Below are 25,324 nucleotides of genomic sequence, written 5' to 3' on the forward strand. Positions count from 1 at the left end.
TGATGCCTATAGATTTTTATTTTTGAATTCCATCCTTCCTTCTGCATTTATTAATTGGCATAGTACTGCAAAGAAGGGCTTTCCGTTTTCATGTATGCGTGTGTGTAGGTATGTATTATCAGCTTCTACTCATGGATTCAGATTTTATTCCATGGGTTATAACTTATTTCTGGTGTAATTTTTTTTTTTTTTTTTTGAGATGGAGTTTTGCTCTTGTTGCCTAGGCTGGAGTGCAATGGCGCGATCTTCGCTCACCGCAACCTCCGCCTCCTGGGTTCAAGCGATTCTCCTGCCTTATCTTCCTGAGTAGCTGGGATTACAGGCATGTGCCACCACACCCAGCTAATTTTATATTTTTAGTGGAGATGGGGTTTCTCCATGTTGGTCAGGCTGGTCTCAAACTCCCAACCTCAGGTGTTCCACCTGCCTCGGCCTCCCAAAGTGCTGGGATTACAGGCGTGAGCCACTGCGCCCAGCCTTTTTTTTGTTGTTTTTTAAATTGTTTGTTTATTTTAGATAGAGTCTTGCTCTGTCACCCAGGCTGGAGTGCAGTAGCGCAATCTCAGCTTCCTGGGTTCAAGCGATCCCCCCACCTCAGCCTCCAGAGTAGCTGGGACTACAGGTGTGTGCTGGCTAAATTTTTTATTTTTATTTTTTGTATTTTTGTAGAGACAGGGTTTCACCATGTTGCCCAAGGCTGGTCTTAAACTTTTGGGCTCTAGTGATCCTCCCACGTTGGCGTCCCAAAGTGCTGTGGGATTACAGCTGTGAGCCACTGTGCCTGGCCTCTGGTGTTGATTTCATGCTAAAATGATCTCTGGCTTGGCCAGTGGCTGCCTCTTCAAGCTTGCTGCTGTATCTTTTCACATGTCCCCATCATATATTTTTGTCCCAACATAATCCAATATAGGTAAAATTTACTATGTGATAAAGATGGCATTTAAAATCAGAAGAGAAAGGCAAACAAGTGGCATTAAGATCATCAGCTAACCCAGTGGTTTTTGAAGTGTGATCCTGAGGCCAGTGGCACAAGCATCTCCAGGAAATATGTCAGACACCTAAATTCTCAGGCCAACAAGCCCTTGGGATTCGGGGACACACTTGTTTGAGAACCAGTAAGCTAAACCACTTGAGGGAAAATAAAGTCAGGTACCTTGCATACCAAATGTGGGGTCGTTTGTTTGTTTGTTTGTTTTTGACAAGGTCTTGCTCTGTCGTCTAGGCTGCAGTGCAGTGGTGTGATCATAGGTAACTGTAGCCTCGAACTCCTGGGCTCAAGCGATCCTCTTGCCTCAGCCTCCAGAGTTGCTGGAACTACAGGCATGCGGTCCTGTGCCTGGCTACTGAACCTGTATATTAAACACTATGAATTTGTACTGAAGCCACCAATCCAATTCCAACTCAGCTCCACAGGGCTCTTCCTAACCTTCCTCCACTCTCATGAGAACCCTGGCACTCAACACTATTTATAAATATTTACAAATTCCTTCACATCTGTAATGCACAGAAGGCGATTTGAGAATTCCTGTACCCACACCACCATGAAAGGTGAAGTTGATTTTGAAAAGCTCCGTACTTTATGCTGTCCATGTTCTGTGTGTGTTTCTTCTCTTTCCTCGTGTGTCTACCAGATTCAAAAAGAGAAAGAAAAAGAAAACAACCTCCTATTTATTTAAAAATCTTTTAAGCAGAGGGTTATTACAGCACTTTACATTCCAAGAACAGACAGGCCAGTCATGAGCGGTGGGCCTCCTCCCTTATTGCTCCGTGAGGATGGAGTGTTCTGGTGGATGGGCCGTGGGTCTTGAGCAGCTGTACCTGACAGACAGTGTACCCATTTATTTTAAAGTAAACACAGCACTGTTTTTCCAGTTTTTCAGCTGGAAGATAAATAAAACTACTGAACCTTGGAACTTGAGTCAGTGGGAGAAGAGAAGAAATTTTTAAAAAGTTGCTCTTCAGTTAAAAACAACTTTAAATTTATTTTTATTATTAGTTTTTTAAAAATATTTATTTATTTATTTTTATTTTTTTGAGATGGAGTCTCACTCCTCTGTCATTCAGGCTGGGGTGTAGTGGGACGATCTTGGCTCACTGCAACCTTCGCTTCCTGGGTTCAAGCGATTCTCCTGCCTCAGACTCCTGAGTAGCTGAGATTACAGGCATGAGCCACCATGCCTGGCTAATTTTTGTATTTTTAGTAGAGACAGGGTTTCACCATGTTGGCCAGGCTAGTCTCAAACTCCTGATCTCAGGTGATCAGGCCATCTTGGCCTCCCAAAGTGCTGGGATTACGGGCGTGAGCCACCTCACCCGGCCTAATTTTTATTGTTAGTTTTTTAGAGGCAAGGACCTACTCTGTCACTCAGGCTAGGGTACAGTGGCTCGAGCATAGCTCACTGTAACCTTGAACTCCTGGCCCTAGGCCATAGATCATTCACTGAGCTATGATCATGGCACTGTATTCTAGCCTGGGTGACAGAGTGAGACCCTGTCTCTTTAAAAAAAAAAAAAAAGGAGAGGGGCAGGGGCTGGGCACGGTGCCTGTAATCTCAGCACTTTGGGAGGCTGAGGTGGGTGGATCACAAGGTCAGGAGTTTGAGACCAGCGTGGCCAATGTGGTGAAACCCCCGTCTCTACTAAAAATACACAAATTAGCCGGGTGTGGTGGCGGGTCCCTGTAGTCCCAGCTGCTTGGGAGGCTGAGGCAGGAGAATTGCTTGAACCTGAGAGGCGGAGGTTGCAGTGAGCCGAGATCGCCCCATTGCACTCCAGCCTGGGCGACAGAACAAGACTCCGTCTCGAAAAAAAAAAAAAAAAGGCAATGGAATCATACATACTGTATATTATGGCCTCAACACATGTTCCCAATTTCCTTTCTCTGCTTTATTTTCTTTCTGAGTAGCTAAGACTACAGGCGTGTGCCACCATACCAGGCTAATTTTTAAATTTCTTGTAGAGTCAGGGTCTTACTATGTTGCCCAGGCTGGCAATTTTAAACTTAAATTGGATAAATTACTCACCATTCTTCAGCTGAGGAGGCAGCAAGGGACAAAAGTAAAAGACAGCTACAGACCCTGGTGCCTTCAACAGGCTTCATGGTAGAAACTGCTAACCCAGTCCTGCATACCCAGTTAGTTTTTTCAACCTGGTAAACCACTATTTCAATCTTGTGGAATGATTACAATAATACTAGATTCTGAGAGTTTTTCTCTTGCTCCCTAAATTGAACATTATTATTAATATTTTGTATGACTGTAAAAGGTGTGTAAAATTTCATATCATGTATATTTTACCACAATTAAAAATAATTACTTAGCCCAGTGCAGTGGCTCACGCTTGTAATTTCAGCACTTTGGAGACTGAGGTGAGAGGATGACTTGAAGCCAGGAGTGCAAGACCAGCGTGGGCAACATAACGAGACCCACCGCTCTATTAAAAAAAAATCTATATCTATAACTATATCTATATAATATATATAAATATATATACTTTATATATGTAATATATAAACATATATACACTAAATCATTCTTGAGCAAGCTAATAAAATAAAAAGTAAAAAAAGCAATACAGGCTCATAAAATTAAAAACATTATTAGTATTTTTCTGATTATTATTATTTCATGCCTATTACTAAAAAGGACAATATTCTGAGTGCTTCGTATGTATCAGTCATTTTTCTGAATTCCCTCATATGTATATACATATACACACGTATACATGTACACATGTACATACACACATGCACACGTATACATATACACACGTATACATATACACATACACACATACACATATACACACACACATATATACACACATGCACACACATATATGTGTAAACTCATTTATTCTTCCTCCGTACATTCAAGGTAGATTGTGGTGCCATCCCCTTTGATGAAGAAATTGAGGTGGAGAGATGCTATGTAACTTGTCCAAAGTTGTCCTATAAGGAGTTCTCAGAGTTAGGATTTAACCCAGTTCTTTTGTTCCTAGAGTCTCTGCCCATAACCTCTATACATTCTGCCTTCCAAGGAAGAAGGTTAAAATCATTTGGAATTCTGTTATTCAGACCTAATCCAGTTAATACTTTGTAATATAGCCACTGTTTTGGGGGGCATATAATCATATTTGTATGTATGCCTTTTTCCCCCCAAATGGGAACTCATTATACATATTTCTTTGTAACTTGATTTTTTCACCCAGTTTTTTCCGCATCAGTGAAACTAGGTCAGTTTTAATGGCTACAGTAATGGGTGTGCTTTGTTTTGTTTTGTTTTTTGAGACAGTCTCATGCTGTCACCCAAGCTGGAGTGCAGTGGTGCGATGTTGGCTCACTGCAGCTTCAACCTCCCAGGCTCAAGCGATTCTCCCATCTTAGCCTCCCGAATAGTTGGGATTACAGATGTGCACCACCATGCTCAGCTAATTTTTGTATTTTTAGTAGAGACAGGGTTTTTGCTATGTTGACCAGGCTGGTCTCGAACTCCTGACATCAAGTGATCCACCCACCTTGGCCTCCCAAAGTGCTGGGATTACAGGTGTGAGCTACTGTGCCCAGCCAGATGCTTTGTTTTTGTTTTGTATAAATGTACCCACAGTTTAACCAGTCTTTCATTCTTGGCCCTTTCTATTGTTTTTTACAATTACTAGCAGCACTTTTTGTTAAACTCTTTTTTTTTTTTTTTTTTTTTTTTTTAAAGAGATGGAGTCTCGCTCCGTCACACAGGGGTGTGATCACAGCTCATTGCAGCCTTGACCTCCCAGGCTCAAGTGATCCTCCCACCTCAGCCTTCCGAGTAGCTGAGATTACAGGCTTGTGTCACCATGCTTGGCTAATTTTGGCATTTCCTCCCTCCTCAGCCTCCCAAAGTGTTGGGATTACAGGTGTGAGCCATTGTGCCCAGCCTAAATTCTTGTAAAGATACCTTTATGCTCCTCTTTTTTTTTCCCTACAGTAAATTCCCAGGCATGCAGTCGCTGGGTCAGAAGGTGGGCGTGTTTCAAGTTTTTGATGCCTGCTGCCTGTGTCCATGGCAGAGTCTGGACCAATTTACACACTGTAAGGGTGCCACATACCTGTTTCCCTGTATCTCCAACAGCACTGGGTGTTGTCAGTCTTTTTAACTTACCTTAGTCTGTTAGGCAAAGTGATTTCTCTTTGTTATTTTATTTTATTTTGTTTTATATTTTAGATTTTATTTTATTTATTTATTTAATTTATTTATTTTATTTTTATGAGATGGAGTCTTGCTCTGTTGCCCAGACTGGAGTGCAGTGGTGTGATCTTGGCTCACTGCAACCTCTGCCTCCCGGGTTCAAGCAATTCTCCTGCCTCAGCCTCCCAAGTAGCTGGGATTACAGGCACCTGCCACCACGCCCAGCTAATTTTTTATTTTTAGTAGAGATGGGGTTTCACCATGTTGACTAGGCTGGTCTCAAACACCTGACTTCAAGTGATCTGCCTGCCTCAGCCTCCCAAAGTTCTGGGATTACAGGTGTGAGCCACGGCGCCTGACCTCCTTTTCTTCTTGAGGAACCTCCAGTGAGGTGTTCTGCTGCTCTGCTGCATTTGCTTGTCCCAAGGTCGCCAGTGACCTCCGTGTTGCTAAACCCAATGGTCACTTCTCAAGCTGTAATCACTGGCCTTATAGATTGGACACAATGAATCGATCCTTCCTGCTTGACATATGTTCTGCCTTGGTTTCAGGGTGCCACAATCTGTGGGTTTTCTGTCCATCTCTCTGGTCACTCTCATTCAGTCTCCCTTGCTCGTTTTTCTCTTCCCCAGTCTGCAAACATGGGGGTGCTCCATGGTGGCTTTGTCCTGTGTTCATTTGTTAATTTACCCCCCTTTCATTCACAAGCACATCCAGCCTCCTTGCTTTAAATTTGGCCTATATGCCCAAAACTCACAGCTAGGGCTTCTCCCCTGGCAACCAAAGACAGTATTTACGTCTAATTAACATCCTCAAGTGAACTGTTGAAATCTGAGTCACCTGCTTCCCACAGCTTTCTACATCTTGAAGCAGTGACAATTCTGTGTCACTCAGGCTAAAATCCTCCGTGCCTTCCTTGACTTCATTTTCTGTCCCATCAGCACCTCCTGTCTGCATTGCCTTTAGGATATATTCTGGGATCCGACCATCTGTCACTGTGACTGCTGCTGTCACCCATGTCCAAGTCACTTCTTGACTGTTATTGCAAAGGCCTCTTAATGGGTCTCCCTGCATCTGCTGTTGTCTTCCTATGGAACGGTTCTGAATGCAGCAGCCAGAATAATTCAAACCAGAAGTCAAATTGTATTGCTACTCCATAAAAACCAAAGTCATTCCCTATGAGCCCACCGGCCCCCTGTGATGCCTTTATGTGTGTCTGCTACTCCTTTGTTACCTCATCTCAAACATGCTCCTCCGCTTTCCAGATCCCTCGGGCCACAGGTCTCCCTGCTGTTTCTCCAGCCCGGTGCTGCTCTCCTGCCACTGACCCTTGGCACTGGCCTTAAATCTCTCCTGAAACTGACCCCTTCCAGTCCACTGAAATATCACCTCAGTGAGGCCTTCTTTGATAATACTGTCTTCATTTTAATTTAATTTAATTTTCTAGAGATGGGATCTCACTATGTTGACTAGGCTGGTCTTGAACTCCTGGCCCCAAGCAATCTTCCTGCCTTGGCCTCCCAAATGCTGGGATTACAGGTGTGAGCCACTGTACCTGGTCATGCCTTTTAAAAAAGGCATGTAATTCAGGGATTTTAAAATGATTTTTAAAAATCATTAATTCAGTGATTTAAAAAAACATTACTGAGTCATGCAGTCATTGCCATGAATTTTTCAATCGCCCCAGTGAGATCCTTTGTGCCCATTTATAGTGAATTCCCCTTTCCACCTCCAGCCCCTGGCAACCACGAATCTACTTTGTGTCTCTGTAGATTTACCTTTCCTGGACATTTTATAGAAATGGAATCATACAGCTGGGCACAGTGGCTCATGCCTGTGATCTCAGTGCATTAAGAGGCTGAGGCGGGGGCAGGGGATGGATGGGGTTCGAGACTAGCCTGGGCAACATAGTGAGACCCTCTACAAAAAATAGGAAAATTAGCCAGGTGTGGTTGTCCACACCTGTAGTCCCAGCTACTCAGGAGGGTGAGGCAGGAGGATTACCTGAGCTTTGGTGGTCGAGGATGCAGTGAACTGTGATCATGCCACTGTACTCCAGCCTGGGTGACAGAGTGGGACCCCTGTCTCTTTATTTTTTGTTATTATTATTTTTTTGAGATGGAGTCTCACTCTGTTGCCCAGGCTGGAGTGCAGTGGTGCATCTCAGCTCACTGCAACCTCCGCCTCCTGGGTTCAAGTGATTCTCCTGCCTCCGCCTCCTGAGTAGCTGGGATTAAAGGCATGTGCCACTGTGCTTGGCTAATTTTTTTGTATTTTTAGTAGAGATGGGATTTCACCATGTTGGCCAGGCTGGTCTTGAAATCCTGATCTTAAGTGATCCACCCACCTCAGCCTCCCAAAGTGTTGGGATTACAGGCGTGAGCCACCGCTCTTGGCCCCCTGTCTCTTAAAAAAAAAAAAAAATAGGACCACACGTATTGTATATTGTGGCCTTGAAAAAACTGTCTTAATTGTGACTACTCCTCCCCAGCATTCCCTGTTTCTCTTCTCTGCTTTATTTTCTTGTAAGCGGTTCTCCCCATATACTACTGTTTATTTTGTTTATTTTTCTCATTCATTGTCCTCCACAAATAGAATGTAAGGTCTATGGGGGCAGGCGTTTTGTGAATTTTGTTCACTTTTGTGTACCTACAACACAAAACCATGAATACATGCATATACACACACACACACACACACACACACACACACGACGTTGAAAGAGTGACTTTCTCCTCTAATTACTGAGGATGAACGTCTTTTCCTGTGACTTAGGTCTTTGCAGCCAGTGTCCGGCTCACCTCGGAGGCTGACAGCAGGACCAGTGTGGTGCGTGCTGCCCACTCCGGCGAGGCTATGGGCTGAGCCCAGTTCCAGCCGCCAAATGCAAGCCGTTGTTTCATTTTGCCCTGATCGAGTTGCAGTTACATCAGCGACTACTGTTTTTTTGATTGGCACCAGATGCCAGGCTTTGGGATTTCAGGCTGTCTTTAGCGGTCTCTGAAAAGCCCTCTGTGTGTCGCTTTCTATCATCCTGCACCTCAGGCAGATATGCCCAGGCCAGAACCTCAAGGAATTCCCAAAGATGCCAAAAGCAACCCCCTCCCTCAGCCCCACACCCTCAACTTCTCAAAGTTGCAGCCGGGGCCCTTTTCCTGGCTTTGGTATCAGCTGAGAGCTGTTGGAAAGAAAAGGTCCTTTTAGCCACAAGTTTCAAAAAGTAAACACGGAGGCCCTGCAACGAATGTTCCAACAATCCTGCACCCTGTGTCACTGAGTGCTGGCTGAGAGGCTGCCTTGTGGAGCCTCACCTGAAGAGAGAAGAAAAGCTCTCTGTCAGGATTCCCTTCCCCTGGTCCAGGCTGCTGCCTCCAGAGTGTTCTGTGAGGTGTCGGCTTTGGAAGTCGGTCAGCCTCGTGGGAACACATATTTGAGCAAAGGGTGATTCTGCTCCAAATGCTGAATGCTGGCCAAGGCCTTTCCTCTTACTCCTTTTCTACAGGTATATTGTGACTGTTTGCATTTTAGTCTGCAGTAGGTGGCCAAGACATTTTTTCTCCCCTTTCTTTTCTTTCTTACTTTTTTTTTTTTTTTTTTGTAGAGATGTAGTCTCACTGTGTCAGGCTGGTCTCAAACTCCTGGCCTCAAGCAATCCTCCCATCTCGGCCTCCCAAAGAGCTGGGATTATAGGCGTGAGCCACCATGCCCGGCTATTTTTCTTTGTTTTGTTTTTTTTTTAAATAAGAAACAGGGTCTTACTCTGTCACCCTGGCTAGCGTGCAGTGCCATCATAGCTCAGTGTAGCCTCAAACTTCTGGCTTTAAACGATCCTCCCACCCCAGCCTCCCGAGTAGCTAAGACCAGAAATGCACACCACTATGCCCAGCTTTTTTGTATTTTTTGTAGAGACAGGGTCTCCCTTTGTTGCCTGAGCTGGTCTCAAACTCGTGGGCTCAAGCGATCCTTCCACCTCAGCCTCCCATAATGCTGGAGTTACAGGTATGAGCCATCATGCCTGACCCCTGCTTTTCTTTCCTTCTTAGACTTAAGAGTTTCTTCGTGTTGGGTCAGGGTTTTGTGTGAGAGTTTCTTTCTTCTCTGTAGGGCATTTTCTTAGGATCATGAGCCTTGCTTGTAGCAGGGGCAGGGCCTGACGCTGATTTATCAGCTTTCGTGCAGTAAGCACCTTTGAATTCCGAGCTAGAGGCTGGCGCTGAAGTGGTGAACAGCAGACAGCATCCCTGTCCTCCTGGAATTTAGACTCTAGAGAGGAAAACAGAAAGTCGAACAAATGGTGCAAACTATTCCAGTTGTGACAGATGCGATGGAGCAAAGTACAGGATGATCTGGGAATGCATCATGGGAGACTTTGCCTGGCCTGGGTGGGGTGTGTGTGTGTGTGTGTTTGTGTGTGTGTGTTCATGCATGTGTGTTTATCAAGGAAGGCTTCCTGGAGGAAGTGACACCTGGACACCAGAAAGAGAAAAAGGAATCGTCTAGAGGAACAAGAGAAAATCATTTTAGGTGGAGGGAACAGCATGTGGGAAGCTTTGAGGCAGGAACAAGCTGGTTGCTGTCAAGTCACACAGGAGGCCAACGGCAGGGAGGAGGCAGGTGCTAGATCAGTGCTGTCCAATAGAAACAGAATTTGAGGTGTGTGTATAATTTAGAATTTGCTACTAGCCATATTAAAAATAAGTCAAAACATAGGCCAGGCACCGTGGCTCACGCCTGCAATCCCAGCACTTTGGGAGGCTGAGGCCAGTGGATCATTTGAGGCCAGGAATTCAAGACCAGCCTGGCCAACATGACAAAGCTCCATCTTTACTAAAAGTACAAAAATTAGCCAGGCATGGTGGCACGTAATCTCAGCTACTTGGGAGGCTAAGGCAGGAGAATCACTTGAACCCAGGAGGCAGAGATTGCAGTGAGCCAAGATCGCGCCACTGCACTCCAGCCTGCGCAACAGAGCGAGACTGTGTCTCAAAAAAGAAAAAAGTAAAAACAAAAACACAGGTGAAATTAATTTTAATAATGTAGCTTATTTCCACATATCTGAAATGCTATTTTAACATGTAATCAGTATAAAGAAAAGTACTAATGAGATATTTTACATACTTTTTGGCCTCAGGTGTGTCTTTCTGACACACAGCACATCTTAATCCATACCAGCCACCTTCTAAGTATGGCTGCAGGTAGCTGTGGCCCCCATATTGGACAGTGCAGGTCTAGAGGTTGAGTCCCTGGAGAAAGACTGGGAAACTTCTCTTCTTTTATTTATTTATTTGTATTTACAAATTTTTTGATTTAAATTTTCTCTTTTTCTTGTGTTTTTTTTTTTTGAGGTGGAGCCTTGCTTTCTTGCCCAGGCTGGAGTGCAGTGGTGCGGTCTTGTTCACTGCAGCCTGTGCTCCTGGGTTCAAGCGATTCTCCTGCCTCAGCCTCCCAAGTAGCTGGGATTACAGGTGTGTACCACCACACCTAGCTAATTTTTATATTTTTAGTAGAAAAGGGGTTTTGCCATGTTGGCCCTGCTGGCCTCGAACTCCTGACCTCAAGTGATCTGCCTGCCCCAGCCTCCCAAAGTGCTGGGATTACAGGCTTGAGCCACCGTGCCCAGCCAAAAATTTTTGTTAAAACATCACCTTGTCTTCAGAAGAAACTTTTCTGCGAAATCAGGTTACCATTAGTGTAGGGTTATATTTGTACAGTTCTAGAAACTTCTTCCATTCCTCTTGAGCCTGTGGCACAGGGGCGTTGGGCCATCTTCTCCAAGGGCCTGTGCTGTTTCTCATCAGCCGTGTAGCATTCAGGCCCTAAATGAACACCTGCTGCAGGCCGGGAATGGTGGCCTTGACCTGGTGACAGGAAAATGAGATTGTTGCCTGAATGTGAGCTGTTTCCTTCCCCTTGCCAAAAACAAAACTGAAACACTTCATCTGGTGTTTGGGCCTCTGCTCCGCACCAGTCATTCGGGCGGCTTCCGCCTGACCGTCCATTCCAGCCTCCCAGGTTCTCCCAGGGGAGGTGCTGTGGCTGCCGGAATAGCCATGTTAACATCAGACCTCATTTATCTCATTGCAGTGTTTAATTTTCCCTCTTCCTTCAGACTACCAGGATTCTTGGAGTATTTTTCTTAGTGTAGGAGGCTTATTCTTTGTGGGAGAGTGGTCCGTCAAAAGGGAAGGTAATCCTGGACCAGAGTAAGAGTGTCACAGTCACATAAGTGGGCAGTTAGTGCCACTATTAGGTACAGAGTGGGACTCTGACTTCAGTGCCTGGCCTGGCCTGGGAGTGCTGTTTATTACATCCAGGACAGTAAGGCACACACTTCTCAGAAAATAATATCCCTCCCTCCCTCCCTTCCCCCCTCCCCCTCCCTCCCCCTTCCCTTTGTTCCTTCCTTTTTTCCTTCCTCTTGCCCTTTTCCTCTCTCCCTCAATTAATTAATGTTTATAACACATGTATTGCATGAATTCATTCTCTTGGAGGGAGGAATCCCCAAACCCTCTTGAGTGGATAGAGTGCATCTGTATATATTTGAAAAGATTCATAGATTACAAGTGAAAAATCAAAGGGCAGAGCTTTGGGCCTAGAATGACCTCAACTTTGCACCTGTGGCTTTTTTTTTTTTTTTTTTTTTGAGACAGAGTTTTACTCTGTCACCCAGACTGCAGTACAGTGGTGTGATCTTGGCTCACTGCAGCCTCCACCTCCCGGGTTCAAGTGATTCTCCTGCCTCAGCCTCCCAAGGAGCTGGGATTACAGGCATGCACAACCATGCCTGACTAATTTTTGTATTTTTGGTAGAGATGGGGTTTCACTTTGTTGGCCAGGCTGGTCTCGAACTCCTGAGCTCAGGTGATCCACCCACCTCAGGCTCTGGGATTACAGGCATGAGCCACTGTGCTCGGCCTTGCATCTGTAGCTTTTATGTGTATATTTGTGCTTGTGTTTGCAATGACTTCATACAAAGTTTTTCAAAGTGGGCGATACTGGCTGGGTGCAGTGGCTCACACCTGTAATCCCAGCACTTTGGGAGGCTGAGGTGGGCGGATCACTTGAGGCTAGGAGTTCGAGACCAGCCTGACCAACATGGTGAAACCCCGTCTCTACTAAAAATACAAAATTAGCTGGGCATGGTGGCAGGCACCTGTAGTCCCAGCTACTCAGGAGGCTGAGGCAGGAGAATCCCTTGAACCCAGGAGGCAGAGGTTGCAGTGAGTTGAGATGGTGCCACTGCACTCCAGCCTGGGCAACAGAGCGAGATTCCATCTCCAAAAAAAAAAAACCCCAAAAACCAAAAAACTAAAGTGGCGATACCATGGGAAAGGCTTTGGAATGTGTGCATTTGTGGAGTAGGTGTCATAGTTTACCTTTCTGTATTTGAATTTTTTTGATGAGCACATTATTTTTTATTTTGAAAGCTAATATTATTTATTGTAAAGACGATATGATATAGCAGAAGTGGGTTTTTTTTTTTTGGTTTTTTTTTTTGGATACAGGGTTTTGTTCTGTTGCCCAGGCTGAGGTGTAGTGGTGCGATCACAGCTCACTGCAGCCTTGACCTCCTGGGCTCAAGTGATCCTCCCACCTCAGCCTCCCAAGTAGATGGGACCACAGGTGCATGCCACTACACCTGTCTAAGTTTTTACATTTTTTGTAGACACAGGATCTCCCTATGTTGCCCAGGCTGGTCTCAAACTGGGCTCAAGGGATTTTCTCACCTTGGCCTCTCCAAGTGTTGGGATTACAGACGTGAGCCACCACACCCTGCCTGGAAAATACTTTTTAAACTTTTTACTATGGAAAATTTCAAACATAAATAAAAGTAGAAGCAGCCAGGCGCGGTGGCTCATGCCTGTAATCCCAGCACTTTGGGAGGCTGAGGTGGGCAGATCACCTGAGGTCAGGAGTTTGAGACCAGCCTGGCCAACATCATGAAACCCCATCTGCACTAAAAATACAAAAATTAGCCGGGTGTGGTGGTGGGTGCCTATAATCCTAGCTACTCAGGAGGCTGAGTCAGGAGAATCGCTTGGACTGAGGAGGCAGAGCTTGCAGTGAACTGAGATCACACCACTGCACTCCAGCCTGGGTGACAAGAGTGAAACTCCGTCTCAAAAAAAAAAAAAAAGTAGACCAGGCGCAGTGGCTTATGCCTGTAATCCCAGCACTTTGGGAGGCCGAGGCAGGCAGATCACAAGGCCAGGAGTACGAGACCAGCTTGGCCAACATAGTGAAACTCTGTCTCTACTAAAAATACACACAAAAAAATTAGCCGGGCGTGATGGTGGGTGCTTGTAGTCCCAGCTACTTGGGAGGCTGAGACAGGAGAATTGGCTGAACCCAGGAGGCAGAGGTTGCAGTAAGCCGAAATAGTGCCATTGCACTCCAGGCTGGGCAACAGAGTGAGACTCCGTCTCAAAAAAAAAAAAAAAAAAAAAAGTGGAGCCGGGCACGGTGGCTAAGGCCTGTAATCCCAGCACTTTGGGAGGCCGAGGCGGGTGGATCACGAGGTCAGGAGATCGAGACCATCCTGGCTAACATGGTGAAACCCTCTCTCTAATAAAAATACAAAAAAAAAAAAAAAAATTAGCCTAACACGGTGAAACCCCGTCTCTAATAAAAATACAAAAAAAAATTAGCCGGACATGGTGGCAGGTGCCTGTAGTCCCAGCTCCTCAGGAGGCTGAGGCAGGAGAATGGTGTGAACCCGGTAGGCGGAGCTTGCAGTAAGCCGAGATCGTGCCACTGCACTCCAGCCTGGGTGACAGAGCGAGACTCCACCTCAAAAAAAAAAAAAAAAGGGGGGGGGGCGGAGAGAATAATGGACCATCTAGCACCAGTTACCCAGCTTAAATGATAACCAGCACACATCTACTTGTCCTTCATCTTTAGCTCCCATCTTTTGGGGAAGTATTTGCAAGAAAATCTCATGCCTTGTGTCATTTCACTTGTTGACACTCCTGCATACATGTCTAATGTTTAACTGAAATGGAAATTATGAAAAAAAAAAAACTACTGTGGAATTAATGGAAATTGAACAAAGAAAATCTTTGTTTCATAATCTTACTGCTCAAACACAACTTATCATTTTTCCCTGGTTCATTTATTTCTTTGCCCCTTTGTATACTTATTTTTACATGATTTTAGTAATAGGGTGCATTCTATAATGTCAGAGGTTGCAGTGAGCCAAGATCGCGCCACTGCACTCCAGCCTGGGCGACAGAGACTCCATCTCAAAAAAAATAAAAACTTAACTTTGTGGTATGAATAATTTTCCATGTTGTTGTATACGCTTTATAATCACTAATCCAAATCTTAATTGGGGCATAATAGGTCCCTCATCTGAAATTATAATTTGTAAAAAAACTCCAATGTATACAAGGGAATTTTTTTAAAAGCAGAATTGTAACCTTAAAAAATAATTTTCTAAGAGGACTCCTACATTTTGCTCTGCAAAGAACATTTAAAAGGAGGTTTGTTCTTTGGAAGGTGTTTATAAACATGGCTTTGATACCAGGCAACTGAGAGAGGCGGTTGTGGCCGCTGCGGTTCCCTGAGGGCACAGAGCATGGGTGATCTGTTGGAGCCAGGCAGGGCCTGGGCAGGGGATTAATGGTGTGGCAGGGACTCTCCCTCCCCTCGGAGATGAGGAGCACTAATGACAAGGCAGCAGTAATGATGTGAACTGATAATTTATTCTAAAGACTTAACCTTCCCAGATCTGTATTTATTTCCCCAGGTACCTTTTAAAAAATTAAAATATGCTACGGCTTGAGAGATTTACCAAGACGGATGAAATCTTTGTATCTTGTTTTAAGAGGATCCACAGCTGGTTCCCGAGACTCCTTCTGGGGTACCTTGTTACGTGGGTGACTGTAATGGGTAACTGGTGCTGAATTGTGTGTGCATATGTACTTTTTTTTTTAAGTAAAGGAAAATGTGTGTAGCTGGATGGGCCTTGCCTATAGAGCACTGGGACCCTGAATCAAGAGAAATAAGGGTGGTCCTGGTTGGTGAGTCCGTTATGTACTGAAATGAGGACATGAGTGCCCAATCCACCTTCCTTTCTTTCCCTCCTCCTAAGGGCAGATGCCCCATCCATGCTTAGAGGCTCCCCTTTCCTGCCTTCCCAGGAACCCTTCTTGATCTTCCTCCCATCTCTCTAGCTGTTCTTCTCTGTCTTTCTTGCAAGGTCATCATCTATTATTAATTTTTTATTAATTTTCTTTGAGACATAGTTTCGCTCTTGTTGCCCAGGCTGGAGTACAACAGCGCGATCTCAGCTCACCACAACCTCTGCCTCCCTAGTTCAAGCGAGTCTCCTGCCTCAGCCTCCTGAGTAGCTGGGATCACAGGCATGCACCACCACACCCCGCTAATTTTGTATTTTTCGTAGAGACGGGTTTCTCCATGTTGGTCAGGCTGGTCTTGAACTCCTGACCTCAGGTGATCCGCCTGCCTTGGCCTGTCAAAGTGCTGGGATTACAGATGTGAGCCATCGTGCCTGGCCTAATTTTTATATTTTTAGTAGAAATAGGGTTTTGCCATGTTAGCAAGGCTGGTCTTGAACTCCTCACCTCAGGTGATCCACCCGTCTTGGCAAGGTCATCATCTATTTAACTGTTAAATATGGGAGTTTCCTATTATTCCATCCTCTTCTTCCATGATCTCATCTCTGTTTCACCTTCCTCTCTATGCAAACCACCGTGTGCAGGTGAGCCACAGATTTGAATCACTTCTGAGCTCTCTTCCCACGTATCTGACGACTCTCTTGGTGTTTCCCTGTGGTGTTCCCTGACAGGTGTTTCCCTGTCAGAAGCACCTCAACATGTGCAAGTCACCTCCTCAGACTTGGTCCTGTTCCCGTATTCTGTATTTCATCATATAGAGCCTCTATTTGTCCAGTTAAGTGCTTTAGAATCCCAGGAGCCGTCTTCGATACCCGACCCCTCTTGCCCACCCCGTTTTCTAATCTCTTTTCAGATTATCTTGATTTTTACTTTTGCAAGTCTGCCCACTTCTTCAGCTCCACTTCTGCTCTAGTCCTTTCCTGGCTGCCAAAATTTTCATCTGCAGCCTCCTGTCTGCTCTGCCTGTTTCTGTCCTTCCTTTCCTCCGGCTTGTTTTCCACACCAAAGCCAGAATGATTATTAATCCAGCAAGGCTGATCTTGTCACACCTCAGTTAAAAAACCCTTTAGCACTGTGCAGTGGCTCTTAGGTTACAGAAAAACTCTCTAACACAGCATGTCACAAGGCATTGCAATGTCCAGTGACCACTCAGTCCTCCCACCCATTTGGATCTCATTCCAGTCCAGCCCCGTTCATCTCTGCCCACTTTCCTGAATGCACCCAGCTCATTGTGCCACAGGACCTTTGCACACAACATTTCCCCTGCCTGGATGGTCTTCCTCCCTGCCCTGCCCTACCCTGCTAGCTGTCTTCTTGAAACTTAGATGACAGTTATCAGTTTCTCAAGAAACTTTTCCTGATGTCCTGACCAGGCCAAGCATCTGGCTGCTCAGGGGACCATATGTTAATATCTCTTGCATGAAACCTTTTCTTACAGTTGCAACTTTACATTTCCTTGTTACTTCCACTTCTCCCACTGAATTAATTGTAACGTTCCTAAAAGCAGGGACAACGTCTGTTTCCATTTTCCATGATAACATAGCTTCAAGCACTGTCTGGAAGATAGTGGGCACCCAGCAAATGTTACTTGAACCTCCTGGGTTCAAGTAATCCTCTTGTCTCAGCCTCCTGAGTAGCTGGGACCATAGGCACACGCCACTGCGCCCAGCTAATTTTTTTTTTTTTTTCAGATAGAGTCTAACTCTTTCACCTAAGCTGGAATGCAGTGGCGCGATGTTGGGTCATTGCAGCGTTCGCCTCCTGGATTCAAGTGATTCTCCTGCCTCAGCCACCCAAGTAGCTGGGATTACAGGCACATGCCACCATGCCTGGCTAGTTTTTGTATTTTTAGTAGAGATGGGGTTTCACCACATTGCCTAGGTGGGTCTTGAACTCCAGCGCTCAGGCGATCTCTCTGCCTTGGCCTCCCAAAGAGCTGGGATTACAGGCGACAACCACCATGCCCGGCCTAGTTTTTTTCTGTTTTATAGAGATGAGGGTCTCACTTTGTTGCCCAGGCTGGTCCCAAACTGGTCTCAAGCCATCCTCCTGCCTCGGCCTCCCAAAGTGTTGGGATTACAGGGATGAGCCACTGTGCCCAGCCCAGGAAATGTTTCCTGAATGAATGAACAAGAAACAGAGAAAAAGTTTGTAAACTGGCTTTGTAAAAATGAGGCTATTTTCTCTAGAAGAGTTCATACAACCCTCAGGAGACCAAAACTTTAATTTAGCAATGATAAAGGGTAGATTCCCAGCGGTAGTAGCCCAAAGAAGAGACTGCAAGACCAAGCCAGAGTTCTCATTACATTCTGGGTTCTGGGTAAGACCCTGCCAGAGTGTGAGTGTTGGGGGGCCGCGGGGAGGTGGAGTAAGCAGAGTCAGCATTGGTGCCCCAACAGGAATACCAGTGTTCACTGTTGGCCTAGCTGGGTAGAAGAGACTTTCTGTTGTTAGGCTCTGGCTAAGGTTGGAAGCCGAAGAGCCATCGTAACAGTAAATCCTGGAATCATCTGGCTTCCTTTACTGCAAAGGAAATGTGAAAGAGCCTTCTCTCTAGACCTGGGGTGGACTCCAGCCTGTGTGTGTCTGAGTTTCAGGGAACTGGGGAATGGAAAGGAGACTGTTTACTCTCTGCCCTTCTGGAATTTCCCCCGGTTCCCTTCCTCTGTGTACCAGTGTTTGCAGTTATGTGTAGAATGAACACGGGCCTGTTAATGAAGTGCTGCTTACTCTCACCCGCTTTTGATGGGCCTATGGGATTGAGGGCAGAGGGAGGCAGGAAGAAGGAGGCTTGTTTCACTAAGCAGGTCTTATGTTAATGGCCAAATCAGTCACATCTTCATCGGGCTTCAGAGACTCTTAATCCTGGCGTCCTTGGCCTCCCTTTAAAAAATTCTCCTTTCTTTCTTGTTTCATGTTTCTCAAATTTCCAGGTAAATCCTATCATTTGTATTCTGAATTAGGAACCAAAAGAAAACAGAACTATTTTTCCTTTGACATGCACATACATTTCGGTGGTATGGGGTGGGGAGGGACAATAATGAGAAAATACCCCAAACTAGAAAGTTCTTTCGTACATTTGCTGTGAAACTCTCCAGGCAAGAGTTCTGGATTTTGTAACGGAATTGCATTATAGTAGCATGGTCTGGCAGTTACAGTTTATGTAGTTTTTTTTCTTTTGTTGGAATAAGGACGGCAATTTCCATGCCCTATTTATCTATATTTATTAGTACCACATGCAAACAACATATTTTTAAAAATCCAGGTCAAGAAAGGGAAAAAGTAACTCTTAGAAAAATATGACTCATCCTTGCTGCACGTACAAACTCTTCTCAATAGGAAATTATTAACTTGAAGCCACTTGCAAATCTGAGGCTTTGAAGGGAGGAAAAATAAGAGTGAGAGTTATTCCCCAAACAGCTTGACTGATGTGTCTTCTACCTTTTTATATTTTAAACTATATTTTGTCAAATTCTTGCAAGTTTTTATTGTTATAGTTGCTGTTAGTACCTTAGGCATGCTGGCATGGAAAAAAACAAAACCTTTTTTTTTTTTTTTTTTTTTGAGACAGTGTCACTCTGTCACCCAGGCTGGAGTGCAGTACCCTGATCTCAGCTCACTGCAGCCTTGACCTCCTGGGCACAAGCGATTATTCCGCCTCAGCCCCCCAAGTAGTTGGGAGTATAGGCAGGTACCACCACGCCCAGCTAATTTTTGTGTTTTTAATAGAGGCAGGGTTTCACCATGTTGCCCAGGCGGGTCTCGAACTCCTGAGCTCAAGCGAACCATCTGCCTCGGCCTCCCAAAGTGCTAGGATTACAGGTGTGAGCCACTGCGCCCTGCCTTCTTTGTTTGTTTGTTTGTTTTGTTTTGTTTTGTTTTGTTTGATAGTGGCCAGTTACTAGAACAAAAACTGTTATAGGAAATGTGAAACATACACAGAGGTGGAAAAACAGTCGATGAATCCCCACATGCCATTACCCAGTTCAGTAGCCATCTATGACGGGCCATTCCTGTCTCATCTAACTTCCCATCCCACCCCTGCTGGATTAATTTTATGAAAATCCCGACATACTTCAACTATAAATATTAATATTTTAGTGTATTTCTCTAAAAGATAAGAACTCTTAAAAACCCAACCCATGATGCCAATTTCATACCTAGAAAACTCAATGGTAATCATTTAATATTTTGAACTATCTAGTCAGTTTTTACATGTCCCCAGTTGTAGTGTAACCCTTTCATTTTATTTTTAAAAAATTTTTAATGTTTTTTGAGACAGAGTCTCACTCCATCACTCAGTCCGGAGTGCAGTGACATGGATCTCAGCTCACAGCAACCTCTGCCTCCTGGGTTCAAGTGATTCTTGTGCCTCAGCCTCCCAAGTTAGCTGGGATTACAGATGTGTGCCACCACACCTGGCTAATTTTTGTATTTTTAGTAGAGATGGGGTTTTGCCATGTTGGCCAGGCTGGCTTGAACTCCTGAACTCAAGTGATCTGCCTGCCTTGGCCTCCCAAAGTGCTGGGATTACAGGTGTGAACCACTGTGCCTGGCCCAACCTTTTTATTTTTTATTTTTATTTTTCGAGATGGGATCTTGCTCTCTTGCCTAGGCTGGAGTGCAGTGATGCAAACATGGCTCAGTGCAGCCTTGACCTTCTGGGCTCAAGTGATTCTCCTGCCTAGCCTCCCATGAAGGTGGGACCGCAGGTGCACGCCACCACGTCCAACTAATTATTTTATTTTATTTTTTATACAGATGGGGTCTCACTTTGTTGCCCAGGCTGGTCTCAAACTCTTGGACTCAAGCGAGCCCCCTGCCTTGGCCTCCCAAAGTGCTGGGATTACAGGCGTGAGCCACTGTGCTCAGCCTTTTTAAGCCATCGGTTTGTCTGAGTCAGGAACCAAACAAGATTGATATATCTTTTCAGTCTCTCTTAACTTAGAGGTAGTCCTCCCTCTTTTTACTCCTTGCAGTGTGTTGTTGAAGAAACTGGACAGCGTGTCCTTTACAGTTTCCCACACTTTGGATTTTGCTGTGTGTCTCCCTAAAGTGTGGGTCTGTGTGTCTCTCTGTCCCTCATGGGCAGATCTAGAGGCTGAGACTGACCTTGGTTCTTTTTTTTCTCTGGTGTGGTGATATGTGTTTCCATCAGGAGGCACATGGTGTCTGATTGTCTCTCTTGGTATGCTGGCTTTTAAAGGGCTGTCTTTCAAAGGGCACAGTCCCTGGGGACTTCCCAGAGTCTTTTCCCTAGATTCTCATATTCAGCCTTACTGCTGTCTGTCGACCTCCATAAAGTAGCATTAGAAGGTATTGGTAACCAGTTATTACTTAGAACAGAAGGGTGCAGTCGTATAGCTGAAGAAGTATGTTTGCTGATTACTGAAGTTAGCATGAGCTTAGGCCTTTGGCTTTCTTGCTGAAACCTGAGCCTCTTGCCAGCTGAATATTTTCATTATATATGTTCCATTTAGTCCTAATTGAATCAGACTTCCTCTAGCCATGCTCTAAATTGGCACTGTTTGCAGCCCCTGCCTGTGACTTGCCCAAAGCTTTGATTCCAAGAGATCAGTGGCCCTGCGGGGCCTGGCTGATGTGCTCGGTGGGGAGTCCTGGGGCTTTCTAACTCATGCTAGGGAGGAGGCCAGGGTAGAATCTTCTTAGACACTGTGTTTCTTAAAGACACTGCCATCACCTTTGCCCAAACCACCATCTGCTCTTGCCTGGATTACCACAGTGACCTCCTACCTGGTCTTGTGTACCTCAGCCCTTCTCCTGTAGCCAGACTGGTTGTGCTACAGCAGGAATCAGGTCACTTCCTTGCTCAAAACCCTGTAACGGAGTCCCGTCCCATGTTGAGCAATTTCCAAGGACCTTGTCCCAAGGCCTGACTGGGAGGCTCTGGCTACCTCCTGCCCTCATCTGCTCCTCTCTTCCCTCGCTCCACTCCAGCTGCCCTGGCCTCCCTGCCATTCCCCAGACATGCTAGGCATGCTCTCTCACCTAGCACCTCTGGGCTTGCTTTTTCCTCTGCCTAGAATGTTCTTCCTCCAGATACCCACGTGACTTCCCCCATCCTTTAGTCTTTGCTCAATTGTCACCTTCCCAGGGAGGTTTTTCTTCTCTACCCCACATCCTCTCCCAGCTTAACATTCTTCATCCCCCTTCTTTTATTTTTTCCTATTGCACTTGCCACCTTCTTTTTTAAATTTTTTTATTTCATTAAAAAATTTTTTTTTAGTTTTTTTTTTTTTGAGACGGAGTTTCGCTCTTGTTGCCCAGGCTGTGTGCAATGGTGCAATCTCGGCTCACTGCAACTTCTGTTTTCCGGGTTCAAGCGATTCTCCTGCCTCAGCCTCCCGAGTTGTTGGGATTACAGGTGCCCGCTACCACACCCAGCTCATGTTTTGTATTTTTAGTAGAGACAGGGTTTCACCATGTTGGCCAGGCTGGTCTCAAACTCCTGACCTCAAATGATCCGCCTGCCTTGGCCTCTGAAAGTGCTGGGATTACAGACGTGAGCCATGGCGCCCAGCCTGCACTTGCCACCTTCTAACAGATTATGCAATTTTCTTTTTTTTTTAAGGAAAAAAAGAAAAGAAATTGCTTATTGTCTGTTTCTGCCAAGTAGAATGTAAATGCTCTAGGAGCACAGATTTTTGCCCATCTTGTTCCTGTTGAGTCACTAGAATAGTAGGTGCTCAAGGCACGGATGTGAACAGCACGGATGCAGATAGAGCAGGGCTTGATGAGCTTGAGGGGAGCTTGTGAGCTTCCTATATGCTAACTCAGATTCCAGTTATGGAAATAGACTCACTAAACCTACTTTTTCATGGGTTTCTTGATTTTGAGCAATGCCTCCAAAGGCAGCAGGAAGACATACTGGAAGAGAAAGGGCCTCTGTAGAGCCGTCTGCACAGCTGTAGTGAAAACAGAGGGCCCCAGAGGTGAGGTGGCTAAGACTGCTATTTATAACTAAGGTTCTAGTATATGTTTTCCAGCCACACTTACGCCTTTCAGCCTCCCCTGTATGCTCGAATCTGTCACTCAATTAGCTAATGGTTTCTTTAGTCCCATTATGTATTATAGGGTTCCTCTGGCTCAATTTTTTTAAAAAGCAAATAATGAGGTGTTCTGTTCTCTGAAGTTTAATTTTTTAAATAACCTTGCCAATTTAAAAAAACCTTTCCCCAATGTTTAATTATGAAATTTGCAAACATATGGAAGAATTGAAAGAGTGATACAGTGAACACCCAAATGCCATCCACCTATTTCTGGCTCTTGTTAACATTTTTTTGCCAAATTTGTTTTATCTATATGTTATTATAGTATATGGCTGGGTGTATTTTTTTTCCTGAGCCATTTGAAGGTAAATTGCAGATATCATGACACTTTAATCCCCAAAACTTCACCCTATTCTTCTAAAAAGTCACTTGAAAATAACTGCATATATCATTCTCATCTACTCTTGCGTCTCCCAAGAATAAGACATGCTCATATAAAACCAAAGTAAATTTTTTTTTTTTTTTTGAGACAGAGTCTTGCTCTGTTGCCCAGGCTGGAATGTGGTGGCACGATCCTGGCTCCCTGCAATCTCCGCCTGCCGTGTTTAAGTGATTCTCCTGCCTTAGCCTCCCAAGTAGTTGGGATTACAGGTGTGTGCCACCATGCCTGGATAATTTTTGTATTTTTAGTAAAGATGGGGTTTCACCATGTTGGCCAGGCTGATCTCGAACTCCTGGGCTCAGGTGATCCACCCACCTCGGCCTCCCAAAGTGCTGGGATTACAGACGTGAGCCACCGTGCCTGTGCATAAAACCATAGTACTACTATTGAACCTAAAAACATTAACAATAATTTCAAACATCATCTAATATTCAGTTTGTATGCAAATTTCTCCATTTATCCCAAGAGTATTTTTTTCAAACCAAGGTTTAGTCACAATTCACGCATGGCATTTGTTGGTTTTCTTTAGATCTAGAAGAGTCTCCATCCTGCCTCCTTTTTTTTTTTTGTTTAAATGAATTTAATGACATTAACATTTTCAGGAGTTCAGGACAGTTATTGTATGGATGTCTCACATTCTGGCATCTGATTGCTTCCTCATGGTATCATTTAATGTTTCTCTATCCCCCTCTTTCATGTGAAGCATGTGGCATCAGGTTGCCTTGCTTTGCTCTCAGTGACAGTAAATTAGATCACTTGGTTATCATGGTGACAGCCAGAGGTCTCAAATAGAACAGAGGAGGGTTATGTTCTCAAAAGTTTAGTTTAAAGAAAAAAGGCCCTCTCTCTCCTCATTGGCTATTTAAATTTAAATTAAATTAATTTATTTTTTGAGACAGGGTCTCGCTCTGTCACACAGGCTGGAGTGCAGTGGCGCAATCTTGGCTCACTGCAATGTATGCCCCCAACCCAGGCTCAAGTAATCCTCCCACTTCAGCCTCCCAGGTAGTGGGGACCACAGGTGCACCCTGCCAGACCTGGGTGATTTTTTGTATTTTTAATAGAGACAGGGTCTCACCATGTTGCCCAGGATGGTCTCGAATTCCTGAGCTCAAGCGACCCACCCATCGCAGCCCATCTCAGCCTCCCAAAGTGCTGGGATTACAGGCATGAGCCACCATGCCCAGTCCTATTTTACTTTTTTGAGACGCAGTCTCATTTTGGTTGCTTAGGTTGGAGTGCCCTGGCATGATCTTGGCTCACTGCAGCCTCGACCTCCCGGGCTCAGGTGATTCTCCCACCTCTGCCTCCTCAGTATCTGGGACTACAGTTGCCTACTACCATATCCAGCTAATTTTTGGCATTTTTATTAGAGATGGGGTTTTACCATGTTGCCCAGGCTGGTCTTGAACTCCTGGACTCAAGCAATCCATCCTCCTTGGTCTCCCAAAGTGCTGGGATTACAGGCATGAGCCACTGAGCCTGGCTGGCTGCTTTTAATTAATTTTTTTTAGTGACAGAGTCTCACTGTGTTACTCATGCTTGTCTTGAACTCCTGGCCTCAGGTGATCCTCCTACCTCAGCCTCCCAAAGTGCTGGGATTACAGGCATGAGCCACTGCACCCAGCCCATTGGCTCTTTTTGAAGACAAAATGTGTCTCAAGGTGTTGTATGATGGCTTCTGAGCCTTCAAATATATAATGATTCCACTGGAGACAATGAGTAGATAAACCAGATAGAAGAGCTAACTTGGATCCCTGAGATGAGACCATGGAGAGGAAAATTCAGGCTATCTCTCTGCCTTCTGTCCAAGGCCCATGGCAGTGTGACTGTCACGGGGGTAGAAATTAGCAACAAGAGGCCTTGGGTTCCTCCACTCTCCTGTTGAACATTATCAGTCCTCCAGGAAGGAGGAAAAAAAAGTGCCAACACTCCATTTATGAAACGATGACCTTTGAGGTATCAGGACAGGAATCAAGGAGCCTTCCGGAATGCTCATCCCTCAGCACGCTTCCAATAGCGGTGTGTGTCCTGGAGCCAGAAGGCTGGGCGCCTTTAGGAGATGACCTGGAAACAAGATGAAAGGACAGTTTGTCTGCGTGATGGGTCTGTGGCTTACCTTGGAAGATTCTGTGGTCACAGCCCAAAAAAGTCTCAGAAGGATCAGAAGGATCAAGAGAAGAATGACTATAAAATGAATGAAGGCTAGGGCGCGGTGGCTCACTCCTGTAATCCCAGCACTTTGGGAGGCCAAGGTGGGAGGATTGCTTGAGGCCAGGAGTTCGAGACCAGCCTGGGCAACATAGTGAACCATGTCTCTATAAAAAAAAAATTAAAAAGCAAAACAAAAAACAAATACAGTGAATGAGAAGTTAGACCAAGAGGAATTAGGACTCTTCCTAAACACAGGAAGTCAACAGGGAGATGATAAAAATGACAGCTTATTAGGAACTCGGTAGGTGCCATTTACTTCTTTGCAAGAGTCCTCTGAAAAAGGTGCCATGATTACCCCTGTTTTGCAGGTAGGGAGACTGATGCTCAGGTTAGGTAGTTTGCTTCACGGTGCACAGC

General features: G+C 45.1%; 1 protein-coding gene across 12 annotated transcripts in view, besides 2 other annotated features; it reads left to right on the forward strand.

Moving 5' to 3' along the window:
• The window catches only part of WWP2 (WW domain containing E3 ubiquitin protein ligase 2), a 179,408-nt gene that overhangs the window by 50,652 nt on the left and 103,432 nt on the right, over positions 1-25,324 (forward strand). The window lies entirely within an intron of this gene.
• Positions 11,208-11,307: an enhancer, noted in NCBI's record as "active region_11046". NCBI's record gives its function as "activates an Ori minimal core promoter by ATAC-STARR-seq in GM12878 lymphoblastoid cells {active_cell/tissue: GM12878}" and the evidence as "EXISTENCE:reporter gene assay evidence [ECO:0000049][PMID:35858748]".
• Positions 11,318-11,387: an enhancer, noted in NCBI's record as "active region_11047". NCBI's record gives its function as "activates an Ori minimal core promoter by ATAC-STARR-seq in GM12878 lymphoblastoid cells {active_cell/tissue: GM12878}" and the evidence as "EXISTENCE:reporter gene assay evidence [ECO:0000049][PMID:35858748]".

The sequence above is a fragment of the Homo sapiens genome, chromosome 16 (genome assembly GCF_000001405.40).
Source record: "Homo sapiens chromosome 16, GRCh38.p14 Primary Assembly".
NCBI classification, from domain to species: Eukaryota; Metazoa; Chordata; class Mammalia; order Primates; family Hominidae; genus Homo; species Homo sapiens.